Raw genomic sequence first — 17770 nt, 5'->3', positions numbered from 1 at the left:
TGCCTTTCCATCCTGTCCGCTGTCCAGCACACACTGTTGAAAACCTACTCAGTGCTGGACTCTGTACTGGGTATGGGCTGGGAGAATTAGCGGGGCAGGGGCATGAAACTGACACAAAGCTTATGATAGGACAGGTACACAAATATTTATAGCATGTGGTAAAGAAGATGTGCGCCTGGAAAGAAGGGTATAGGGCAAAGTTCATTCATCCATTTATAAATATTCTGGGGTCTCTATTCTGTGCCAGGCTTGGTTCAGTGAGTGGGCACAGATCAGCAAGCAAAGCCAAGAAAGTCTCAGGTCGTTGACTCTCTATCCATGAGAGGAAGACAATCAACAAGTAAGCACTGATGATGAGCACTGTGGAGAAAAATAGGCAGGGAAGGGGAGGAAAGGCTTCTCTAATAACGTGGCACTTGAGCGGAGACCGGAAGGAAGTGAGAATACAGATCTTATGGGTATCTGGGGAAAAAACGTCCAGACAGAGGGAAGGTCAGGTGCAAAGGCCCTGGGGCAGGAGTGTGCTGCTGTATAGGAGGCACAGGGACGAGGCCAGAGTGGCTGGAGAGAGAGCACCTGGGAATGAAGGGTCTCGGATGGTGCTGGGTCTTGTCAAGTGCCCTGGCTCTTACTCCAGGAAAGTTTGTGCAGAGCCTGCCTTATGCTTTAAAAAGACCAACCTGGACACTGTATGCAGAAAAAGTTAAGGCATCTGTTGCAATGGGTTACTGTTGCAGAATCCAAGGGAGAGAGGACAGTGGCTTGGACAAGGGTGGGGGCAGGGGAAGTGATGAGAAGTGTTGGAAGACTGGGTATGTTTTGAAGGTGAAGCCAACAGGACTTTCTGTTGGATAGGGAGTGGGATGTGGGTCAAAAAAAGGAGCGACTGTGAAATGATGCCTCCATTTACTGAAAAGAGGAAGAGGCGGTGGGGGTGGAGCAGATTTTAGAGGCTAATCAGGCATTGGGGTTTGAACAGGGGATGTTTGAGATCCCTGGTGGACATCCGAGTTCAGCGAGAACATTGCAGCTGAGGGACGCAGGGAGAAGGGGCATTTCCCGTGGCCTTGAAGGAGACTCATATTTGGAGATCAGAGGGAGAACATGCTCCAGGTAGAAAAGGTGTGGCAGGCAAAGGTGGTGGGGTGGGAAGCAGGTCACAGCTCTGCTGGGGCTCGGGGCAGCCCTAGCAGCTCTGTCTTCCATTGGTCTGCTCTGGAAAAGACAGTCAGGCCACTAAAGCCTGGCTGAAATCTGGCTGCTTGGGCGCCTGCTGTCTTAGGCCTGGCCCCTTTCCACACTCCCACTGTCTGTGTGGACCTTCGAGACATTTGCGTTTGGGAGCTGTGGTTAGAGCACAGCGTGTGATGAAGGCAGGCAAGGACAGGCCATGCATTCGGGGGTCTGGGGTCAGGCGAGCTCCTCACAGGTGCTCTGGACCACGCTAGCAGCCGCTAAGCCCGTGCAGGTGGACAACCACTGTGGCTGTAGAGCGACAATCGCCCAGAATTGGTGTCATCTCAGGGCCTCCACTGTGTCCCAAGTCATCTCGGATGCCCTACCCTCCGCACTGCTGCTCTTTAGACCTGCCGTCTCCTCCCTGCCCGCACAGGCCTGTGATTGAGCTCTGCATCCCTTCCTCGCTGGACCCCACCCTGGCTCCCCCTGGCTGCCATGTAGTCTCCCTCTTCACTCAGTACATGCCCTATACGCTGGCTGGAGGCAAGGCCTGGGACGAGCAGGAGAGAGACGCTTATGCAGACAGAGGTAAAGACAGCTGCACGTTCTGCCTCCAGAGCCACAGCCGGGCATGCGACCCAACTGGGCCTGCTCCTCCTCACTGCCCCATTCAGGATTGACAACTGCAGGTGCCATTCCAAAGGGAGGAAATAGTCAAGGGAACCTCAAGTCAACATAGTTGACTGCAGGGGTCAGGAACTGGGCTAAGAAAGTCAAGAAGACACAGTTCCTGCCCTCCAGTTGCTCACAGTCTAGCAAGGGATGGAGGAGACTAATTAAGAAACCTTTTATTACAGCACAGCTGACTGCACGAACCAAAGGAGACGCATGAGCCAGAGAGACAAGGAAGGCTTTCAAAGGAAGGGATGGTCAAGCTGGGTTTCCAAGGATGACTAGGAGCTGGCCAGGCAGCAAAGGGCATTCCAAGCAAGAGAAACAGCTTGATCAGGCCAGGCGTGGGGGCTCATGCCTGTAATTCCAGCACTTCGGGAGGCCGAGGCAGGCGGATCACCCGAGGTCAGGAGTTCAAGACCAGCCTGACCAACATGGTGAAACCCCGTAGCTACTAAAAACATAAAAAAATTAGCAGGGTGTGGTGGCACATGCCTGTAATCTTAGCTGCTCAGGAGGCTGAGGCAGGAGAATCGTTTGAACCCAGAGGCGGAGGTTGCAGTGAGCTGAGATTGCGCCACTGCACTCCAGCCTGGGTGACAGAGTGAGACTCCGTCTCAAAAAAAAAAAAAAAAAAAAAAAAAACAGCTTGAGAAAAGTGAAGAGGTGAAAAAAGCTGCATATGCAAAAGGAGATCAGCAGCTTCGTGTTTAAGGTTGGGGTAGGGAAGTGGGGAAAACTGGGGACTGGACTGGCCTACCCATGCATCTTTGGGATGAATTAATCATTTGCTTGTGGACTGATTTTTGTTTTTCACCTATTGAGGTATAATTTGCATATGATAAAATAAGCCCATTTCTGTGTGTAATTTAATGACTGTTAGTAAATTTGCCAAGTTGTACACCCATAGTGCCTCCTCTTCTTCCTAACACCATCTCATTTCTCTGTTTTTGGCACCCCAGTGTTTGATTGCATCGAGGTCTATGCCCCTGGCTTCAAGGACTCTGTGGTTGGCAGAGACATCCTCACACCACCAGATTTGGAGAGAATCTTCGGGCTTCCTGGAGGGGTATGTATAAGCCTAGGGGGTCTCTCACCATAGCCTTCCCTCTGCACCCTCACTTCCTGGCTATGACCTCTCTGCTTTATCTTGTCCCTCCATACTCAGCTTTCATCAGGAAGGGAGGACAGTGGCAGGGACCCCGGCTGAGAGAGGGCAGAGAAGCGGTCAAACCGAGGGAATGGGGGATCCCTAGTGGGGGCTCAGAAACACAGGCAGGACAGCCCCCACTGAGAAGGTCACCAGGATTGTGGCCCTCTGCCTTGACAACTATGCTGGCTCTGCCATCTGACTTTCTTGAGAGAGAGCACCCCCTTCTCAAGGCAGCAGCACATCCTCAGACTTGTCAATTTATCAAAAACTAGAGATTGGAGACAGGGAGACCAGATAGGAGGCCAGGTTCAATCGCCTCATTGCAGCTACTGAGCACTTGAAAGATCAGAGACCACCCTAGGCAACGTAGTGAGACCCCATCTCTACAAAAACAAAAACCCCGCCAGGTGTGGTGGTGCGTACCTGTGGTTCCAGCTACCCAGGAAGCTGAAACAGGATGATCGCTTGAGCCCAGGAGTTTGAGACTGCAGTGAGCTGTGATGCGTCATTACACTTCAGCCTGGGCAACAGAATGAGACCCTATCTCTAGAAAGAAAATTTAAAAAAAAAGCAAAAGAAAGATCTGAGGCCAAAGTGAGATGTGCTGCAAGTGTAGAATGCACACAGTATAGAAAAAAATGTAAAATATCTCATCAATAAGTTATATATTGATTACATGTTGAAATTATAATATTTTGGATATATTGGGCTAAATAAAATATATTATTGACATTAGTTTCATCAGCTTGCCCTTCCTTCCTTCCTTCCTTCCTTCCTTCCTTCCTTCCTCCCTCCCTTCCTTGTTTCCTCCCTCCCTCCCTCCCTCTCTTCCTTCTAGAGATAGGTCCTGTTCTATCACCCAGGCTGGAGTGCAGTAGTGCAATCACGGCTCACTGCAGCCTCGACCTCTGGGGCTGAAGCCATCCATCCTCCCACCTCAGCCTCCTGAGTAGCTGGGCCTACAGGCATGCACCACCACACCTGGCTAATTTTTTTTTTTTTTTGTAGAGATGAGTCTCCCTGTGTTGTCTAGGCTGGTCTCAAACTCTGGGGCTCAAGTGATCCTCCCACCTTGGCCTCCCAAAGTGCTGGGATTGCAGGCATGGGCCACCACAACCGGCTCTGCTTTTACTTTTTAAATGTAGCTACTAATAAATCAAAAACTACATATGTAGCTCCCATTACATGTTCACTGAACAGCACTGGTCCAGGTATAGAGGAAAGAAGGCCAGGCAGCGGGAAGGAAGGGAATGGCTGGGTACAGCAGGCATGGGGCGGGCAGACTTGAGAAGCCTTGGTGACAGTGTGCACATAGGAGTCAGGGTGGAGGTGATGTGAAGGGTAGGCACAGAGGCCAGGGGGAGGAAGGTGGTGTCATTCACTTATGCAGGAGGATGGGGAGGAGCAGACTCGAGGGAAGAGGATGGCCTCAGTTTGGGGAAAGGTGAAGAGGGCAGTGGGGGAGCACTCCTGTGAGGATGCCCAACAGACGTCAGGCTTCTTGTCCAGACCTGCCCCCTGAGTCTGACCTTCGCTTGTCCCATGCTGCCTCCCTTCTCAGCCTGGGGCTGGTCTCACCCAAGCCAGGGGGGCAGAACCGTGCTCGGGCTCCGTTGCCCCTTGTCTGCCATTCACAGTGATCCTGCTGGAGCTTGGACACCGGGGTCCGGGCTCAGGTGGATGCCTTGGCCAGAGAAGGGAGTTCTCGCAGAGACGCATGCCAACAGCCACAATAAGTCAGACAATTCTGTTTTTCCAACAGAGGGAGAGGGATGCAGAGTAGAGAGCAAAACCCTCTTTTCCTTCCCGTTCAGTTCGTGTTCCCCACCCTGCTTTCTTCCTCAAAAAGCCTCTGGAAAACTTCACTCCCAGCCCCAGGGCATGTGCCCATTCCGTCTCATCTCCTTCCCTTTCTGCATTTTAAAACCCAAGAAAATATCCTGGAAGGAGAAGAACATTTGCTGAAGAACAGGGGAGGGGAAGAAACCCAGCCAGAGCAGGAAAGGCTGTAACTCTCCTGTGCTGATGACTGTGGCCCTGCCTCTGCAGAACATATTCCACTGCGCCATGTCCCTGGACCAGCTCTACTTCGCCCGCCCCGTGCCCCTGCATTCTGGCTACCGCTGCCCTCTCCAGGGCCTGTATCTCTGTGGAAGTGGGGCTCATCCTGGTGAGTGACCTGGAGTCCCACTACCCTGTGGGGACTGGGAGGGCTCACTGGAGGCCAGAGACTTGGAGAAGGAGGAAGTTAAGCAATGAAGGTGGCAGAGAGGGAGGGGAGCAGGGAACTCCCAACATAAGCTGCCCTGTGTTCAGAATTATCCATGCACAGGTGAGCACACAGCCGCTGCCTCCACCAGGCTGACCACAGCCCACAGTTGAGCTCACACCTCCCCTTCAGGAGGCCTGGGGATGCATCCTGGTGGAGGCATCTCACCACATTCCAATGTGGGGTTGTGAGAGACCCATGTCCCTAAATTCCCCATCCGTATATATATTTAGACAGGGCTTCACGCTATCGCCTAGGCTGGAGGTGCAGTGGTATGATCACAGCTCACTGCAGCCTCAACCTCCTGGGCTCAAGTGATCCTCCTGCCTCGGCCTCTGGAGTAGGTGGGACTACAGGTGTGTGCCACCATGCCTGGCTAATTTTTTATTCTTTTGTGGAGATGGGTTTTGTTAGGTTGCCCGGGCTGGTCTCGAACTCCCGCGCTGAAGTGATCCTCTCCACTCAGCTTCCCAAAGTGCTGGGATTAGAGGCCTCCATCCATATTTTAGACCAGGAAGGATGGATAAAGTTAACTTCTTCAACTTTACAATTCTTTCTTGTGCGCATTCCAAGCCTAACGGAGCTGGCTGAGGCTATTTGCTATGCACACTTTCTCTCAGCTGTGTAGACTTGGTACCCTGGAAAGAGTCTGGGCTTACACATCTTCCCCCTCCCCCCAGCCCCTTATTCTGAAATTTTAACTTCACTTACTAAGCGTGTGCCCATCCAGCACGTCCACCCTCAGCCGTTGAGACTGTGGGCTGTGGACCTGGCCCCTCCCCAGACCTTTGGTGCAGGAAGCCTGGAGGGAGCCAGAATCTATTGAGCGGCTGTCTTAGGTGATTCCAGTGCCCATGCCCCCGGACCCCTCTAACCAGCCCCACTCTGCTTTGTTGCTGGATCTCTGTAAGCCCTGTCCCCACCCCCACCCTGGCAGGTTTTTGAGCGGAGCTTTGGTTCATAGGAGATTCCCTTCCAGGAGGAGGTGTGATGGGAGCTGCTGGGCGAAATGCAGCACATGTGGCCTTTAGGGACCTCAAGAGCATGTGACCCTGAACCAGCTCTGACCCAGGAAGAAGACTCCACCCCTGAATTCCAAGTGCTCCATTGGATCAGCTTCCCAGGAAGTTCAGCTTCGGGTTAGTACATAAGGCCACCACAATGCTCAAGAAATTATTTTAGAAAAAACGTACGAGTTACATTTAGTGCAAGTTGACCTTATGCCCATGCCTCCATACATGGACTGGTTCTGTTTTATTAAAACTAATATTTCATACAGATTATTTTGCTTGTATTTTTTCTCTGTGTTAGTTGGTGGGATAGACTTCTCTGGGGTACTCATAATTCTTACATCAGCTAAGAAGCAGTCCATTTAAAGGCCAGGCATGGTGACTCATGCCTGTAATCCCAGGACTTCGGGAAGTTCAGGCAGGCAAATCACTTTGAGGTCAGGAATTCAAGACCAGCCTGGCCAACATGGTGAAACCTCATCTCTACTAAAAGTACAAAAATTAGACAGGCATGGTGGCGGGCGCCTGTAATCCCAGCTGCTTGGGAGGCTGAGGCAAGAGAATCACTTGAACCCAGGAGGTAGAGGTTGCAGTGAGCCGAGATTGTGCCACTGCACTCCAGCCTGGGCGACAGAGACTCCATCTCAAAACAAAACAAAACAAAAAACAGTCCATCTAACCAGTGGAAGAGTCTGATCCAAGCATCCCCTGTCCTTGCCTGGGACCCCCACTACCAACAATTGGAGGACTGCCCAGGTGGGGCCCAGTCAACCGCTGTCACATTCCTGGCAAGCTATAAGAATGGACCCAATTTCCCCATGATCCACAGAGTCACCCTCAAAGGCCACGGTCCTGAACAATGCTGGGCATCTCAAGCCACAGAATCCTCCAGTCAGGCAAAAAGCAGCCAAGGGTGACTGCAAAGTGGATTCCACTGAGGCCGTCTGGGAGCCCGGTCTTCCTGATTCCAGAGCATTCAGGCTTCTGCCTCCCATGAGCTAAGTCTGTTGCATCACCAACACCTTTCAATATAAACCTCTAGAATTCTAAAGAGAGTTGAATTGTCACCCTTGTCCAGGAAAATCCATCCAGAGTTCCCGTGGTAATGCAGCCCTCCCAGCCAGCTTCTCCAGTTCCAGCAGCCAAGGCCACAGTCCAAGCCGTCCCATCTGCAGATAAGGCAGGATCTTCCCTGGGAAAGCTTCCCTTCCTCCATTTCCTGGGCAAATTTATACAGGATCAAATAGATCCACCTCATTACTTAATGTTGGTAAACTCAGATTTCTCAGCTGTAAAAGAGTTGTTTTAAAGCTCACATCAAACAATAGATCATGTTTCCATCCAGTATCTAGCACATGATAAGCATTCAGTACATGGTGGAGCTGCTGCTGTGGCTTTTATTGATGAAATCGTTTTTGTCGTTTTTGTCATTTTTGTATTCTGCAGAAGGTGATCTTTTCTATATACTTTTTAACCTGGCACCCAGAATTGAAACTAGCCCCCTAGAAGCATTGTGACCAGGACAGTGCAGAACAATGTTTGGATCCCCAAGCTTTTTCGAAAGTAGCCAAGCCCCCTCCCTCATTCAGCATCAGGACCATCAACTTCTTGATCTTGTTGAAAATTTGTTTTTGGTCAATATTGCTGGTTTTCTGGAAGGAAAGAAGGAAGACAGGGAGAGAGGGAGGAAGAATGAGAGAAAAAAAGGGAGGGAGGGAGGAAGAAAGAGGAAAAAGAGAAGAAGGAACAAAGAAAGTGAGGGAAGGAAGGAGAAAGGAAGGGAGGGAGGGAGGGAGGGAGAAATGAACATAGAAAATCTTCAAAGGCCTGGGGCAGCTCACATCAGACTTGGTCTTTAAAAATAATAACGATTTTTAGCCGGGCGCAGTGGCTCACGTCAGTAATCCCAGCACTTTGGGAGGCTGGGGTGGGCGGATTATGAGGTCAGGGGATCAAGACCATCCTGGCTCACACGGTGAAACCCTGTCTCTACTAAAAATACAAAAAAAAAAAAAATTAGCCGGGTATGGTGGCACACGCCTGTAATCTCAGCTGCTCTGGAGGCTGAGGCAGGAGAATTGCTTGAACCCGGGAGGTGGAGGTTGCAGTAAGCTGAGATCGCGCCACTGCACTCCAGCCTGGGCAACAAAAAGAGACTCTGTCTCAAAAAAACAAAAAATAAAAAACAAACAAAAAAACTTTATTTATTTATTTTGGTAAACAAAGGTTACAAATGCCTAATGTAGGAAATTTTAAAAATATAATAAGAGAGAAACATAAAATGCACACATAATTTTTCCTGCAGAGATAATTGCAGTTCCCATTTTACAATATTTCCAGGTAGTCTTTCAGGTCATTGGTATTCCGTGTTCTGTATGTGGGCTTTACATCTTTCCTTCATTTCACTTCATGTCATAAGCAGTTTTCAGTGCCATAAAAATTCTTTGAAAACATTATTTTTAATAGCTGCCTAATATTCTCTTGTAAGGATGTGTCATAATTTATTATGGGACATTGGGTTCAGCTTTGGCCTTGATTGCTAATTAGTATAAGCCAAAGGCCCGAAAACTTCTTTTATCACTGCTGTTCCTGTTTTAATGGTTCCCTGTCATTTCTGGGATCACAAGGGTGCAGCTGTTCTCCAGGCAAATGTTCCCTGTAAAGGAGGAGGAACTTGGAGGAGGCCAGGGAGAGAGGGGAAAAAGCACCTTTAGCACCAAGAGGAAGAATTTCCCACTGTTTGGTGACTTCCCATCCTGTGTCTCATGTCTCTGAAAGATAACATTTAGTCCAGACCGAGAGACAAGATAAGGCCTCAGCACTACAGGGTGCCTTGGTTCCTCCAAGCCCCCAGCACATGCCGACCCTGCTGAGCAAGGCGGGCTGGTCTTACCAAAGTGCTGACTCTGCAAATCAGCCATGAACTGGACAAATGTGTCCCTTGCTGGCCCTAATATGTAAAACTTTTAGAAGGATAAATAAGTCAGGGCCTCATTGTTACCTGATTTACAATTGCCTGTTTCCCCAGAGCAGCAGGGAACACTTCCTTCGAGGCATAGTCCTGTAAAACCCTGAAGTGCACTGGAACCTCAGCTGCTTAAGTAGTTACCAGCAGGCCCTCCTGATCTCACAGCCCCTGGGTGATGGTGTCCAGAGACTCAGTGAGATGTGAGGTTTACAGCTCTGGGAGGAATTTGGCCTTCCTGGTGGGAGGAATGACAGATGTGGCTGACCAAGCCGGCTGTGGGCTTGTGAGCGTGCATCTTTCTAACATATGTTCAATTTGCAAGGCAGGTGACAATTACCAAGTTATTCTGTGGGACCTTCGTAATACTCCTGCCCTGATGTCTGGAATGAGGGGAAAAGAGACCTGCTGAGCACAGGATGTCATTCTGTGAGCGAGTGGAGACACATGAAATGAGAAAAAGGAATGCAAAATGCAAAGCAAGGAGAAACGCAAATGGACAGCAAACCTGAAAAAAATATTTAAACTCACAAGGAATCCGTTAAATGCAATGAAAACCAAACAATCATGCTTTACCTATAAAATTGAGAAAAAATATTTGTATAGAAAATTACTGGTGTGGGCAAAAAAGACACTCTTCTATGCTGTTGACAGCGGCATAAATTTGTATTTGATCATGAGACTCAAAAGCCAACATCCGTGTGCTTTGTGGGTTATTCTGCATCTTATCACTTAGCCTAAGGAAAATATCAGAAATGTCCCTGAGGATTTAGGTAGAAGGATATTCATGCAGTATTATTTGCAATGGCAAAATACTGGAAACAGCCTAAATGTCCCAAAATAGAGAATTAGTTAAATTAATCATGGTAACGGCACGTGATAGAATATCAAACAATAACTTTAAAAGTTACATTTTTGAATGTACTTTTCTTTTATCACATGGAAAAAATATGCTAATAAAAAGTAAGATATAATGGGACCTGAATTTTGTTGATAGTTGATAGATGGGTAGACAGATCTCTCATATATATGTAAATATACATTACATATACTAACTATAAAAAACATACTTACCCACACAGAGAAAGACAGAGACAGAGAGAAAGACAGAGATGGAGAGATAGAAACAGAGAGACAAATGGGAAAGAACAAAGTATACCCCAAAGTACAGTCTGCTAGCAGTAGCCTGAAGTCTTTCTGACCACTTGGCAGCAGCTTGGAAAATGTTCCTCACTACCTTCATGGAACCTATCATAGCATAAGAACCAGCCCAAAGTAAATGGATGGGACTTTGAATTTTTGTTTAAAAATGATGGCTTGTGCCTGGTCAAAATGGTGTGTGAATGGCTTATGCATTGATATATATCGATTGGCATAAGTCAGAGCGCTTCAGACCTGGTCTCGGTCTAAGAGATCCTCAGTGGAGACGTGGCGTCTTTGGTCATCTAAGGTCCCTGCAGCATCACAAAGGGAAAGGGCGGCATCTTCTAGTGTTTACACAGCCCAACAGAAATCCTGTGTTCTTGTAAGGAGGTGACCAAGGTGGACCTGAACCTGGATTTTGTCTGGTTTTATCTGAAACTAGGCAATGCTGTTATGTAGGTTGTCAGACCAGCAGCTCTGCAGCTGGCTATATGTGTCTTTGAGTAATAAGAGAATCACTAGAGGAATTAAATGAGACTAACCAAAGGACATTTGATTGGTATGCAGAAGTCTTCAAAACAATGTGTCTCTTAAGAAAAAAAAAAAAGAAGGTTGTCAATAGTGAAAAGATAGGTGAAACCTACACTTTCTGCACTGCACCTGTCGGCCTTCCTTCCTGTCTGATCTTTCAGGACCCATGGAGAAAGTGTAGGTCTGACCCAGAAGGCTGTTGTGTATAAAGAGGATGATGTTGCCTCCCATAGAGGGATGTGAGGATTGTATATACATAAACACAGCTCAAAAAATATGCACACTGTGTGACTCAGCACACCCACTCCCAGATATACCCAGCAGAAATGCTTACTGGTGTTCACCAAAAGATACATACTAGGCTGCTCCTAGCAGCACTACTTGTAATACCTCCAACCAGAAAGCTACCCCAATGCCCATTGAAAGTAGAACGGATAAGTAAATTGCGGCACCTTCGCATGATGGGCTACTATTCAGCAATGAGAATGAACAATCTAGAACCACATGCAACAAAACTATTTTGAGTCAAAGAAACCAGAAATGAAATAATACATGTTGTAGGATTCTGCTTATAATTTATACAGAAACAGTCTAAATTAATAGTTCCTATACTGTTAAAAGTTCACCTTTGGTTGGGCACAGTGGCTCACACTTGTAATCCCAGCACTTTGGGAGGCTGAGGTGGGAGGATTGCTTAAGGCAAGGAGTTCAAGACCAGCTTGGGCAATGTAGCAAGACCTCATTTCTAAAAAAAAAAAATAGCCAGGCATGGTAGTGCATGCATGTAGTCCTAGCTACTTGGGAGGCTGAGGAGGGAGGATCACTTGAGCCCAGGGGTTGGAGGCTACAGTGAGCTATGCTCATACCACTGCATTCCAGCCTGGGCAACAGAATGAGACGCTGTATTGAAAAAAAAAGTTCACCATTGAGGGTGTTAAGGCCTAGAAGGAAGCCTGAGAAGGGCTTCAGGGTGCTAGCAGTGTATCTTCCTGTTTGATCTATGTGATGGTTACATAGGCATGTTCAGTTTCTGAAGAATTCATTGGTTTCTATACTTAGGGTGTTGCAGTTTTCTGTATGTATATTATACTTCAATAGAAAGTTAAAAAAACTAGTGCCTGGAATATAGTGATGTCACTTATTAACATCATTACTCTAAAGCTAATATTTATTGGCAAAGCCCTATGTCTGAGGCTAGACTTGAAAGGGGAAATGAAGAAAGAGGGTAAGGAAGGAGAAGAGGAGAAAGGGAAAGAGGGATGTGGTGGACAGACCTGTAGGGTGCCCCCTACCCAGGACCCCTGCTTACTGGTGCCCATGGCCTTGTGTGCTCCCCTCCCCTCAAGGGTGGGTGAGGTCTATGAATTGCTTCTAACCAACAGAATATGACAAAGGTGAAAGGAGGTATGTGATTATATCACACACAGCATAATCGTGCAGGAATTTCAGTTCCTGGCTGGCCGTGAGGAGGCAGGTAGCCCTGTTGAAAACCCCATGTGGCAAGTAACTGCAGTAGCCTCCAGCTGACTGAAGCTCTCAGACCTACTACCTCAGAGAATGGATGCTGCCAACACATGTGAGCAAGGAAATGGATGCTTCCCCAGTTGAGCTTCCAGATGAGAACACAGCCTGGCCGGCACTGTGAGTATAGCCTTGTGACACCCTGAACAGGGAGTCCAGCTGTGCCTAGATTCCTGAACAGTGGAAACTGTGAGATAATAAATGTGTGTTGTTCAAAGCCACCAAGTTTGTACTAATTTTTCACACAGCAATCAATAACTAATACAAGGGAGAAGGCCACATAGCCATGCACATGATGGGTGCAAAATACGATGATATGAATTGAAATTATGCCCCTAGATTTCAAAGTTTTCCCATTCAAAATGACCCTATGAGTTGGACTTCACTCCCATAGTGGCTGGGCGTCCATCTCCCAGCAGGGCCAAGCCTGGAGTCACTATGACAGAGGGCATCAAGTCAGACACACCTGTGTTTGGATCCTGGCTCTACCAGCATTGGATTTTAGGCATGTTCCTAATGCTTCCAAGTCTCAATTTCTTATGTGACTCATGGAGATGGTAATTTTTTTTTGTCTGGCACAAGGCACACAACAAAAACTAGTTTTTTTCCTTCCTTATACAACAACATGTTACTACATATACTCAGAAGCACAGGAATCAGACAGAGTGAGAGGCCTTCTGGAACATTCTATGCCAACCTGAAGCAGAGGGATGAAATTAAAGCCACCACAAAAAGAAATGGAGCAAGATTTCCCTCGATTAAGGCTTTGGACATCACTCAATTAGAGGGCTCCCAATCTAGGAGCTTCCATCCTGGGACCACAGCACACACAAACACACACACACAACCCTATACAATAAACTACACCAACTCACACATGCAGATCAATACGCCAGGGCAAGAGAGAAGGAAGCAGGCAGGGCAGTTTGCCAAAGGCAGAAATCTGTGTGTGGGATGTTGAGCTGTATTTCTGGTCCAGTAAATCAATCTGCCTTGAAAGGGCTCCTCCAACTTCATGACTGTAATTGGAGCTACCTTCCTCAGGGGTTGTTTGTTACATTTAAGGTCAGGTGACAAGCACTGTTTTTCAGAGTCTGCACAGTCACTCTGCATCTGCCTCTGGGAAAAGTTCTAGCAATATCTGGAGAATCAGCTAAAAATGAGTATGCCTGAAGGCTGTTGAAAAGTTGGGAGAAATGCAATTGGGTTAACTTCTGATTTCTCTCCTTGTCGGATTTCCAAAACTCACTTCAACATTCTCTCCAGGATGCCTCCCCTAAAACCAGGATCTATCTCCATTAATTTGATGCTTGTTAAGACTCACTGTAGCAGAGGCACCAGCCCCAAACTAACCCGATAATAATAATGGCTGCTATTTAGTGAGCCTTGATTTCATGCCAGGTACTGCACCAAGCAAGAATTTCCCATGCTTTAAATCTACAATAAACCTGGGGGCCGATTACTGTACATCTCTGCTTTTACAGAAGAGGAAACAAACACAGTTAGGTTAAATAGTTTCCTGAGGTCACAGAGCTGGTAGTTGACACAGTCAAGATTTGAACTGAGGTCCTTCTGACAGCAAAAATCATGCTCTAAGCAAGAAACAACACTCTGGACACACCTAGTGGACAACTGGTTGTAGGGTCATCAAGTTCCATCAATTGTTGGCCACCTGTGTAGGGCTATACATGAATGTTAAGGAATGGTTCCTTGTTGCAAAGCATTTACAGTCTAGTGGAGGACGACAAAGAACACTCATATAAGAATTATTAACAACTCTAGCTGCATGAATCTGTGTGAGCACACTAGTGGAATTTGGAGAGACAAGCTGCCTGTTAATTGGTAGGGTCAGGAAGTATTTCTCACAGCAGAGGGGACTGAGCTAGAGTGGGGTCAAGGATGCACTAGACATGATGAGTGAAAAGAATAAGGTGGGCATTCAGGGTCTTCTGGGCACCATGTGACAACGGTGGGATGGAGGGATGGGCAGAGAGTTCAGAGCCACAGTCGGACGGGATGAGGATTGTGAAGAGCAAAGGCGAGAATAAGGCCGGATAAGAGGGTCAAGCTGCAGATGCCATGCCGGGCAGAAGGTGGCCTTCATTCTACAGCCAACATGGAGTTTGCTGGAGGAGGTATGGGGATTTTACACACATGGGAGGACGTCCAGTCTGTTAGCCTGTTAAAGTGGCCACATTTGCAGTGTTGGCAGAGGCCAGGGGACAAACTCTTGGGCTTCCTCCTCCCCACCTCCCCTCGCCCTCTCCCAAGGACTCAAATGAGCAGTTGAGATATGGACATGAGTTGGGAGTGGGAGCTTCTCACTTGGAGGCTAGAGCCAGATCTTCAGACTACTACACCCCTCTGTCTGCCAAGCCCAGGTGCTCAGTGGAGGGCCATGAACAGAGGCCAGCGTGGCTCCTTCTCATCTCCATAATACAGCCATGTTCTCTGCAGCCTCAATGCAAACAGCTCCTCATTCACCTCTGCCACAGACAGAAGACGGATCCTGGCTGTGGAACCTGGATCTGGGAAGCTTTAGTGGCAGCACCTGTTTTTGGCTGGAGGTGTTTGTAACACCTTGTAGGTATTGTCCCCTGGGGCAGCATGGACCCCTCTACCTGCTTTGAGACTGTGGATGACCTGCATCTCATCAAGGACCGAGGCAGATGGGGACCTGGGCCTGGATTTCTACTACAGAAGCCAGAGACTCATCTGCACGCTGCAGAAACTGGAGCAGCCCATATTTGGAGTTAGGAAGAAGTTTAATAATAGTACACAAACTTCCTTGGAAAGGGCTAGCCTAAAGGGGAACTGGTTATTAGGAGAAAAAAAAAACCACCGCTGTTTTTACAGTAACCCTCCTCAGTCTATAATGAGCAAACCTCTCTTCTGTATAGAGCAGCCTCCTAATGTGAGTCACTCCAAGACTTGGCTTCCAACCGCTGCCCCTTAGCCCAGGAAGCAGGAGCACAATGGAGCAGCCAGGTGTCAATTACAGGAGACGGTCAGGGCAGGAAGCAAGGTGAGTTATAATAGGAGAGCAAATTAATTTCACATAAGTAGGATTAGTAGTTAAATAAATAGAAGTCCCACCACTAACCCTGTCTGGAATGCTGAGTGTCTGTCCCCCACCAGAGGACAGAAAAAGCTCACAGCTGAGCAGGAATCAGGTCACCACAGGGTTACCTACCCACTGTTAAGGACGACCCCCTGGAAATGTAAAGCAAGGACATGGTTTAGAAAAGACACTCTGAGCCGGGAAAAAGAGATGGTATGTAGGGAAAGATGCCTCCCACTGATGGCTTAGTCATCTATGACAGGGCCACGATGCAGTGTGAAGCAGCTGTACCTAAGAACAGTCTGAGCAGTGGAGGAGGGGTCACCCAGGATTTGGGGTAAATTGCGGGTGGTGAATTCTAAGGATGACTCCATCAGGAGCTTCCATTCCAGGCTGAGTTTGTGTTGGCTTTATTTTTAAATTGTCAACCTCTTGTTTGTTCGTTTGGGCTTTTTAAAGCTTCTGTCCCTTTCCCAGTTTTCAAGTGACCTTTGTTCAGGTGAGTGGAGTCCTGGGTTCCTTGGGACTTCAGGGGCTGAGGGAGCATGGAGGGGAGACCAGGGCTCGAGGTGAGCCAGGTCAGGGCAGCCGGGTTCCAGATCTACAAAGTAGAGTCAGTCATACATCACAGCATTGCTGTGAGGACTAAGGTAAATTAAGTCCAAAGCAAAAAGCCCCTAATGAGAGTTCTGACAGCTGGAGATAAGCTTGAAAATAAGCAGCAGCTTTCTGTCCTCCTCTCCTGCCTTCCTGTCATGCAATGGAGCCAGAGAAGAGAATTCATAGCGGACACTATGCAAAGGAGGCTATACACAAAATCTTCCTAGGGCGGGAGGAACTGCCTGCCGGTTAGGGAATTCTCAGCAAGGACCTCCGGGGAAGCTTCTGAGCTGCTTCTGACTCTGCATTGGCTTAGGATTTTGAGCACGGTCAGGGTGGATCTGCAGCCTCAAGCTGTAAGAGGTAGGGCAGTCTAGGAGTCCTTAACTCAGGGGTTCCTAAACTTCTTTGACTATATCCACTTGAGTGGGGCCAAAGGACACAACGTCTCACCAGTTCCCCCTCTCTCCTGAGTTTGGTAATTATAGGTGTGGGGCTTATGGGAAGGAGAAGAGGATCGCAGAGGAACCAAACAGACATATTGCACTAAACCTGCTGAGCAGGCAGTATACACGGTTCACTTCCTATTTATGTTAAAGAAAAATCTGCCATTGTACACTTGATTTTATATTATAAATGAACGCCCCATGATCTCAAAATAACCCTACTAATTTTATTATGCTAACCTTGATTGCAAGACGAAAGTGATGAAAAAAAAATAGCACAAATTCACCGGCAAGGAAGCCACCAATGAAGTGTCCTTCTATAATAGGGTGACCGACCGTGGGAGTTTGCTCAGGATTCTCCCAGCTTTAGCATTGAAAATTCTACATTCCGGCAAACCTCTCAGTCCTGGGCAAACCACCATACAAGCAAAATATAAAGGGATCATGTATACACCTCCCTTAGCAGTAGGGGTACATGAGTGATGAATTATTCAACTGCAATTCATTTACATATAATGTCTAGAAATTGCACAATTTTATAATAAAAGCCAAAAATTATCAAAGTAAATACTTATTACTACCCATTCTAGGACAACCCCAAACTCTCGCCAGACTCAATGGATAATGAGGGCACAAAACCAATAGTAACTTATAAATATAAAGTATGAATAAAAGCGGTTGAAAACCATGATAACTCAAAATAACTGCTGAAGAGCTAACGAAACAGCGTTTTTCCAAATCTTGGGGAAATTCCAACTATGTAAAGTATAGTGTAGAATAACAAATTGGAGTCCTCAGTAAATCCCAGGAACACTAATTTTAGTTTATGAATACCAAATTTTTGTGGGTTAAAAGCTTTACTTGTACATAAGAAGTAAAGTCTGGGGGCCACCTCTGTGACCCACCTGGAGGAACCACAGGAAAGATTTGCGTGCTTGGGTCACTTCATAGTCATCAGAATGATACTCAGGTCCCACTTTGAGAGTCACTGCATTAGCTCAATTAATAAATGAGAAAACAGAGGCCCCGAGAAGTCAAGTGACTTTTCCAAAGCTACAGGTGCCATGGGTCCTCCAAGGAAGGTTCTCTGAGGGCTGGAGAGGTGTGTTAGGGGGCAGAGGTAGGATTTTAAAATAGTTTGTCTGTCTTAGTCACTCCCTCCACATACATCTGACATAGTGAAAGAGCACTGGTCCTCTTGAACCCTCATAGGGCTTGTT

General features: G+C 47.5%; 1 protein-coding gene across 20 annotated transcripts in view, besides 2 other annotated features; it reads left to right on the top strand.

Moving 5' to 3' along the window:
- The window catches only part of PYROXD2 (pyridine nucleotide-disulphide oxidoreductase domain 2), a 31615-nt gene extending 25062 nt beyond the window's left edge, over positions 1-6553 (top strand). For 11 of the 20 annotated variants that reach the window (NM_032709.3, XM_047425882.1, XM_011540293.3 and 8 more), the window contains 4 exons: positions 1613-1767; positions 2814-2920; positions 5054-5174; positions 6253-6553. In NM_032709.3, the coding sequence (NP_116098.2) occupies positions 1613-1767; positions 2814-2920; positions 5054-5174; positions 6253-6323 (454 nt within the window). In that variant the 3' untranslated portion in view covers positions 6324-6553. The other 9 variants (XM_017016835.2, XM_047425883.1, XM_047425884.1 and 6 more) reach the window with 7 other exon arrangements.
- Positions 14320-14819: an enhancer, noted in NCBI's record as "H3K27ac hESC enhancer chr10:100135059-100135558 (GRCh37/hg19 assembly coordinates)". NCBI's record gives its function as "activates a minimal SCP1, AML or CMV promoter by ChIP-STARR-seq in naive H9 embryonic stem cells {active_cell/tissue: H9 hESC(naive)}" and the evidence as "EXISTENCE:reporter gene assay evidence [ECO:0000049][PMID:30033119]".
- Positions 14820-15321: an enhancer, noted in NCBI's record as "H3K27ac hESC enhancer chr10:100134557-100135058 (GRCh37/hg19 assembly coordinates)". NCBI's record gives its function as "activates a minimal SCP1, AML or CMV promoter by ChIP-STARR-seq in primed H9 embryonic stem cells {active_cell/tissue: H9 hESC(primed)}" and the evidence as "EXISTENCE:reporter gene assay evidence [ECO:0000049][PMID:30033119]".

The sequence above is a fragment of the Homo sapiens genome, chromosome 10, assembly GCF_000001405.40.
Source record: "Homo sapiens chromosome 10, GRCh38.p14 Primary Assembly".
Lineage (NCBI taxonomy): Eukaryota > Metazoa > Chordata > Mammalia > Primates > Hominidae > Homo > Homo sapiens.
Note: the sequence above shows the minus strand (reverse complement) of the source record. Positions and strands in the feature narration are given on the sequence as shown.